We start from the raw sequence: 8893 nt of genomic DNA on the forward strand, positions 1-8893 counted from the left end.
TTTAGGCTTTGTGGGCCATGCACAACTACTCAACTCAGCAGTTGTAGTCTAAAAGAAGGCATAGGCAAAACCTGAACAAATGAGCATTGCTAGTTCCAACTTTATGGACACTGAAATTCCAATTTCACATAATTTTCATGTGTCAAAAAATATTCTTTTAAAAATGCAGCTTTTTCAAACACTTAAATATGTACAAGCCATTCTTAGATCATGGGCCAGACAAAAACAAATGGTGGTCCATGGGCCATAGTTTGCCTGCCCTTGTTCAAGTGGGAGAAACAGACACTAAGCAAAGTGGTGACAGAGAGTGATAACTAGGTGCGAGGAAATGAGTGGACATTTAAGTTGAGGGCTAGGAGTCAGAATGAGTCCACCTTCTGCAGAGATGGAGGAAGGGTATTTTAGGAAGAAGGGAGAGCAAGTCGGAAGCCCCTCAGGCAGGAAAGGACTCAGCAATTTGTAGGAAGAGAAAGGCCACTAGTATGTCTGAGCCTTGGTGGGCATCAGGACAAAGGGGAAGATGAGATGGGATGAGGTTGAAGAGAGAGGCAAGAGCCCAGACTCTAAAGTATTGTGTGGCCATGGTAGAAATTTAATTTGACTGTAAGCATAATGAGAAGCTATTGAAAGGTTTTAAGCAGGGAAGTGACACAATTGATTTACTATTAAAAAAAAATAATCACTGCAGCTACTGAGATGAGAATGGATTGGAAAGGTGTGAGATGGAAGTAGATGACTATTGCAATAATCCAGGGGAGAAATGTCTTAGTTCCTCCTTGAGTAGTGTTGGCAATAAAGAGAAGTGGATGGATGCAAGAGGGGTACTCAGGAGATAGACATGACATAAAATTTGTTGGTGGATCAAATACAATGTGTTAATATGGATCCCCTGAGAAGCAAACAATATTATCAGATTAGACATGTGAGAGATTTATTGAAGGGAACACCTGTGAGGTAATAACAGGGAAGCATCTGAGGGGAATTAGGAAAGACATTAGACAGTTTCAACCCTTGTGGAGAACAGGAAAGGAAAAGTAGGAAAAGTTGTAGATATGATACAGTTCTGAGAAAGTTTCAGCACAGCCAGTGGAAAGCCTTCAAGCCAAAGTCCCCCATATCAGAAGAGTTCTGTGTCTCCCAGGAATGGGCCTGCCTTAAATCCCTCTGCTCAGTCACTGGCTGGGAGCAGTCAGTGGGCAGTGCAGCCTGGTGATAAATTTCAAAGGACAGCAGCTGAGGCATCAGTCAACAATGCTCCCTGCAATTGGAGATCTGAGAAGTGCATTTTCATGGCTGCAATATATGGGATTTAAGGGAAAGGGAAAAATGTAGGAATATCTCTAAATTGTTAATTTGAACAATGGGATAATAGTGAGTTTACCGAGTCAGTGAATTATGGGAGAGGAATAGGTTTGAGGGAAGAAATCAGAAGCTGTGTTTTGGACTACTAAGATTCAGATGCTTTTCAGACATTCAGGTAGAGAGATCAATTAGCAATTGAATAAATCTGGAGCTCAGGGGTAAAATTCTGTGTTGAAGGTGGATATTTGGAAAGCATAAGCATTTAAAGCTATGAGAGTGAATGAAACCATCTGCAGAAAGGGCAGATAAATGAGAAGAGACAACATGAAGCATTGACTTCAGCATTTAGAAGTCAGGCTTACAAGGAAGAGCCAAGAGGAAGGAGGGGAGTCAGGAGCGTATGGAGTTACAGGAACCAAGAGAGCAAAGTGTCATTCATGTCAAATGCCACTGAGAAATCAAGGGTCCATCATATTTGGTATTGTGGGAGTTCTAGGTGACCTTGACAAGAGCAGTTTCAATGTTGTGGTGAGGACGCAAACCAGCCAAAAATGGGCTGGAGAGTGAATGGGAGATGGAAGGCTGGATGTAACCCTTTAGAGAAGACTTTGTTGTAAATAGAAGTAGAGAAGTGAAGCTGTAGTGAAGGTGGGATAAGAGTCAAGAAAAGGAATTTTAGGATGAGAGTCATTCCAGCAGGTTATGCTGATGGAAATGATTCAGTAGATAGGCAGAGATTGGTGAGGCAGGAAGGGGAGGGAGGGGACAACCGAAGAAATGAAATACTTGGCAAAGCAAAAGGGTGTTGGAGCCAAAGCACAAATTAAGCAATTTTCATTTGACAAGAGCAGGGGTAGGAGGTAAAACACAGAAGACAGATTTAAGTTCAACTAAGTTGTAGATTTCACAGAGGAGAGATGAGAAAAGTCTGACCAAATGGCTTCTGCATTCTCTATTTAGTCTAAAGCAAGGTCAAAGGCTGAGAGTAAAGGAGATGAGGAGTGGAAAAGGTGTGAAGAAGGAGCGTAAGGTATGAATTATTTATCTTGGGAACTGAAAAGCAAACTTTCTATAGAAACTTGGTAGGATTGCTAAGAAGGGATGAGTGTCCACTTGAAGATTGTAATCATTATAACATGGATGTCAAGCTAGTCATCCCAGTTATATGACTTTTATCCAGCAACATTCAGCAGCTTCAGTACAGGTGCTGAGAAAGTAGATAACCCTGGGCTCAGCCGGAGTTGGGATTTAGCCAGGTAGTATGACACAAGGATTGGTTACCATGATGGATCATCGATTCTAAGATGGGTAAAGAGGGAAGTATATGAATGTGGTGATGCATAGTGAAAAGGTAGTGAGATTAATGGATTTGAGATCTCAATGGAGTTGAGGAATTTTTCAAATAGGAATACTAGAGTAAGTGAGCTAGAAGAATTGAAGGCAGTGGTCAGAGAGTATACTTGAATTCAAGATGCCAGAAGTCATGCAATGAATGTAGTGCCAAGGCTCTGGGCTGAGACGGGGTGGAAACAAAGTTAGTAGAGGTGAAAATTGTAAAGAAATGGCAAGCTAGGTTGTAAGATGGGTTATCACCGTAAATAAATACAAAGTCAACAAGAATGAGTTGGCATAGAGAGAAAGATGATGAAATGGAAGCCATTGTTACCAATAACTGATCATCAAAAGAGTTGTAGAAAACTGCATTGAGGAAAGAAGGAGAGATCCTCTGTCCTGAGGTATACATATAGTTAAAATTACCTAGGGCTTAGAAAGACAAAGAAGGAAAAGTGTTTGGAAGCACTATTGAGAGAAAACGAAACGCCAGCTCCACCTCCTGATTCTGGAATATGGGGGGAGTGGAAGAAAAAGTAGTCTCCACCCAAGAAGTCTACAGTGGAAGCAGGACCTCTAAGAACAGACAACTTTCAGTTAAAAAAAAAAAAAATTAAGCAATAGTAACATTTTAGCCAGGTGTGGTGGCATGTGGCTATAATCCCAGCTACCCAGGAGGCTGAGGCAGGAGAATCGCTTGAACCCAGGAGGTGGAGGTTGTAGTGAGCCAAGATCACACCACTGCACTCCAGCCTGGGCAACAGAGAAAAAGAGAAAAAAAAAGAAGAAGAAAGGAAGAAAGAAGCGATGGTAACATTTAAAAGTGAATTTTAAAGGGCTCTGTGGAGATGTTTGGAAGCAATGGGAACAGTGGAGAATTGGCTTATAATAGTGGACATATCAGAAGTATGAGGATGAGGGCCCCAGGTAACAGTGGACAACTTGGGGAATTGGGACTGCTGGGGTGATTATAGAACACAGGGTCTAGACATAATGAGAAAAGTCCTAATGGTCTGTTAATGCAAGGTTCAAGCAAAGGCCAAATATTTAACTCAATAGCATTGGTATAACCCCATTTTCTGACTGCTTTCAATTGTATGGTGGACTGAGGGCAGGGAGGGTCTTATGTGGAACTGAAGCATCAGGAAAATCCTCGGGTGACTACTCCCTCCTGCAGCTCTCCTGGAAGGAAAGAACAATCCTAGCTCTGGTGCACAGAAGGTTGAAGGGAAGGGGGTAAAAAAGCAGTATATAACTCAGAACCTGAGTCACACACCTGATTAGACTTGAGACTGCCCTCCTCTTCTGGCACTCTTTAAGATGGGAAAGATAGGTACTTGTCATGGTAAAGGAGAAGCAAATAACTTTGCGACTGTCCTCCAGGAAAAGATTCCCAAACCATAAACGCATTCCTCCTTCAAACCCAGGACAATGTATGGGAGAATGAAGGGTCTGGTTGCTTCTTTGTTCACAAAGGCTAGATAAGTTGGGACGTTTTTCTTTTTGCAATGCCTGGTGCAGAGTGTGCAGTTCCACCAAGATAACACTGACAGGACAATTTCTGAGCAGCCAGGCAATAGCAGCTATAGCTGCATAAATCTGAATTTCCCAATTCATTCTCTGAAAACCACACTACAGAACAATAAAAAAGATCAAACAAAACTGCAGGAAATGCATGCCACCTGCATAACTAAAAGAGAATGTTCAAATTTCAGTATACCTGTAAGTAGGAAGTAAACATCCAGTCTCAAGTAGCTGTGTCTCAAGATCTTGCCATAAACTTTCACAGAGATACAGTTCTGAGAAACAGAGATACAGAGCAGCCTGGAGAAAGTGAATAGAAGAGAGAAGAGGAGAGCCATTGACAGGCCTGTGATTGATCTAAGAAAACCAGAAAAAAGAGAAAGTCCATCGTATGTGCTAACATACTGGAAAAGATTCCTAGGAGATAAAACCACTTGCTATATATGTTTTCTTAAAGTGCGCATGATTCATGGGAACAGTCTATGAAATGCATTGCTTCTGGAGGTACAGAAGGTAAAAAAGATAGAGAGGCACCCTTTGAATCTAAATGAAGAGGAAAATAAGTAAAAAGAAATTTTAGTGCCAAGTAAATGAGTTTCAAAGCTTTTTTGTCTTGTTTTGTTTTGCTCTGTTGCCCAAGCTGGAGTGCAATGGCACAATCTCAGCTCACTGGAACCTCCGCCTCCTGTGTTCAAGGGATTCTCCTGTCTCAACCTCCCAAGTAGCTGGGATTACAGGCATGCACCACCATGCCTGGCTAATTTTTTGTATTTTTAGTAGAGACGGGGTTTCACCATGTTGGCTAGGCTGGTCTCGAACTCCTGACCTCAAGTAATCCATCCGCCTTGGCCTCCAAAGTGCTGGGATTGCAGGTATGAGCCACTGCGCCGGGCCTCAAAGCTTTAAAAATATGCAATCTTTAGCTACATACACATGCATGTGCATGCATGTACACATGCAAAAGCCATCCATTGACAAACTGTATTTCACTGCAGAAGAGAATACCCTTGAACTTGAAATCTCATAAACCATATCAAATCTTTGAAATGAACAGATGACGTATTATTCAAGGTTTTCCAGATAAAAAGAACCAATAATTAGTATGTGCATATATATGTAGATATAGATACAGATATACAGATATAGATTAGAAATATGCATTTAATATAAAGCATTGGCTCACACAAATATGAAGGCTGAGAGGTCTTATGATCTGCTCTCTTCAAGATGGAGACCCAGGAAAGCCAGTGGTATAGCTCAAAGGCCTGAAAGCCAGAGAACTGACTACACAAATTCCAGGCTGAATGTGAAGACCTGAGAACCATGAGCCCTGAGCCAGGGCAGGTGAAGGTTGCTATGCCTGCTCAATACACAGGCAGAGACCTAGCAAACACACTGGGGAGGTCAGTCTGCTTTCTCAGTCTCCCAATTTAAATGCTAATCTCTTCCAGAAGCACTCTCACAGTCATATCCAGAAATAATACTTAACCAGATAGCTGGGCATTCCATGATCCAGTCAAGTTGACATATAAAATTAACTACCACAGGTGAAAACAGAGTAAATATATACAAAACCATTATAAGAAGAAAACAGAAAACAAGACCGTGTCAGCTGATGAAAATTCTCCTCTCCCCCCGAAAAGAATCCAAAGCAGAAGAAAACTGACATAAACTCCAAAGTGAAGTAAATATCTTCAAAGAAGCTTTTGGGAATATGAAAAAAACACCTTGAATCATAAATTTTAAAGTAAAAATGGACAAAAAATGGGAAGAAATAAAAGAGAGTGTGTTAGATCCAAGAAAGAAATATAAGAAAAAGACAAATTACTGCAGAAGTGAAGAACAAATTGCAAAGTTTCCAGAGGAAAAGAGAATTAAATAAAATCTTAATAAGGGACAGGGAAATAACCAAGATATGAAAAGAAGATACAAAACTAAAAGCTTTGAGAGAAAAGAAGTGGTTGAAATGGAAGACATTTCAGAGAGAAATAGTTGAAATGGAAGACAGGCAAAGAAGAAACAACATACAAATTATTGCAGTCCTTAAGGGATATACACAAACAACAAAGGAACAGAACTAATATTTGGGACCATAATCCAAGCATGTTTCAGGATATAAAAGAATATATAAATCTATATACCAAAAGGACTCATCAATTATGTGGGAAAATTAATCCAGAATTGTCAACTCTAAACCATACGCAAGTAAAATTATTAGATTTCAAAGATAAAGAAAAAATCCCCGAGATCTCCAAGGGAAAAAAGATCAAGAAATTACAAGGACGAGAGAATTAGACTGGCACAGGACTGCTCAAAAACAATATATTAACAAGGCAACAATGGAACAGCAGTTTAAAAAAAAAGCTCAAGGAAAAAAGTGTGAATCAAGGACTTCCAGGCAACCCATTCTTCAAGTATTAAATATCAAGCCAAGAAAAGATGAGTTTTAAACATGAAAAAATTTAGGGAATTTTTAATACATGAACCCTTCTTGAAGAATCTTTGAAAAGATGATTTCTGCTCAACCAAGTAGCGAAACTTTCTCAAAAGGACAGATGGTGATCATTTACTATATTTAATTGTAGACCTAAGACTAAACAAAGGTGGGGACAAAGCTAACAAAATATTGTTATATGTTGATATGGTTTGGCTGTGTCCCCACCCAAATCTCATCTTGAATTGTAGCTCCCATAATCCCCATGTGTCATGGGAGGGACCTGTTGGGAGGTAATTGAATCATGGGGGTGGGTTTTTTCTGTGTTGTTCTTGTGATAGTGAATAAGTCTCACGAGATCTGATGGTTTTATAAAGGGCAGCTCCCCTACACATGCTCTCTTGCCTTCCACCATGTAAGACATGCCTTTGCTCCACCTTCACCTTCTGCCATAATTGTGAGGCCTCCTTGGCCATGTGGAGCTGTGAGTCCATTAAACCTCATTTACTTTATAAATTACCCAGTCTCAGGTATGTCTTTATTGGCAGCATGAGAACGGACTAAAGCATATGTTGTATGTAGTACATTCTGACAAAGTAGAAATAACACAACTGAAAATGGGAAAAGGGAACAAGAAAAAGGAAAATAGAATAAGCCTACCAATTGTGATATAGGCAATGGATAGGGGTTAAGGGACAATATTAAAATTAAAAAGTCAGATAATCGAAGGTTAAATAAAAAAGAGGGAATGAAGTTTCTTGAAAAAGGTATAGTACAAAGATAACCAGTAGAATAAAACTGTGAGCTTTCTTAAATACAAAAAAATTTTTTAAAATTAAAATAGCAAAAAAAAGTGTCATGCAAAGAAAGAAACACAGCAAATAAAACACAGTTTTAAGATTATTATAGTATAAAATATGTATAACAAAATAAGTTGAACTGTCATATTAATGAGTATGAATGAGTTTAACTTATCTATTAAAAGCAAAAGATTTCCACTGGACATGCTCATTCCCATAATCCTAGCGCTTTGAGAGGCCGAGGCAGGCAGATCACCTGAGGTCAGGAGTTCGAGACCAGCCTGGTCAACATGGTGAACTCCGTCTCTACTAAAAATACAAAAAGTAGCCAGATATGGTGGTGGGTGCCTATAATCCCATCTACTCAGGAGGTTGAGGCAGGAGAATCACTTGAACCCAGGAGGCAGGGGTTGCAGTAAGCCGAGATCATGCCACTGCACTCCAGCCTGGGTGACAGAGAGAGAGACTCTGTTTCAAAAAAAAAAGGCAAAAGAGATTTTCAATTTTGTTCACAAAGCAAGATGCTGAAAATAAGAGACATGACTGATTCAAAATGATTCAGAAAGTCTAAAAAGGGATGGGCAAAAGTACACTAGACAAATGGAAACAACAACAAAGGAGGGGTTGTGATACTAATGTCAAGATAAAGTTTAAACCAAAATGCATTAAATGAGACAAAGGAGGGCATGTTTTCATGCCACAGTTCACAATGGATATACTACAGTTACGAATTCTGTTCACCAAATAACTCAGCAGCAACCTTTATAAGGAAAAACTACAGGACATGCAAAGAAACACTGATAGAAACACACTAACAAAAAGACTTCAAGACACTACCTTCAGTACAAAACAGACTCAGTAGCCAAAAAAGAGGAATTAATGTAGACCTAAGTCGTATAAGCAATAATATAGATCTTACAGATACACAGCCATGCATCACTTAAGGATGGGAATATGTTCTGAGAAATTCATCTTTATGCAATTTGATTGTTGTGTGAACATCATAGAGTGCACTTACACAAATCTAGATGGCATAGCCTACTATACACCTAGGCAATATTGTATGGGCTATTACCCCTAGGCTACAAACCTGTACAGTGTGATACTGTACTGAATACTAGAGGCAGTGGTAACACAATGGTATTCGTATATCTAAACATATCTAAACATAGAAAAGGTATAGTAAAAATATGATATAAATGACTTTGAAAAATGGTACACCTGCATAGGGCGCTTACCATGAATGGGGCTTGGAGGACTGGAAGTTGCTCTGGGTGAGTCAGTGAGTGAGTGGTGAATGAATGTGAAGGCCCAGGACATTACTGTATATTAGGGTAGGCTTTATAAACACTATACACTTAGGCTACCTTAATTTATTTAAAAAATAAAGGAATTGTGCTATGATGTTACAATGACTATGATGTCACTAGGCAACAGGAATGTTTTAGCTCCATTATAATCTTATGGGACCACCATCGTACATTTGTTTGGTAGTTGACTG

This window comes from Homo sapiens, chromosome 2 (assembly GCF_000001405.40).
Source record: "Homo sapiens chromosome 2, GRCh38.p14 Primary Assembly".
NCBI classification, from domain to species: Eukaryota; Metazoa; Chordata; class Mammalia; order Primates; family Hominidae; genus Homo; species Homo sapiens.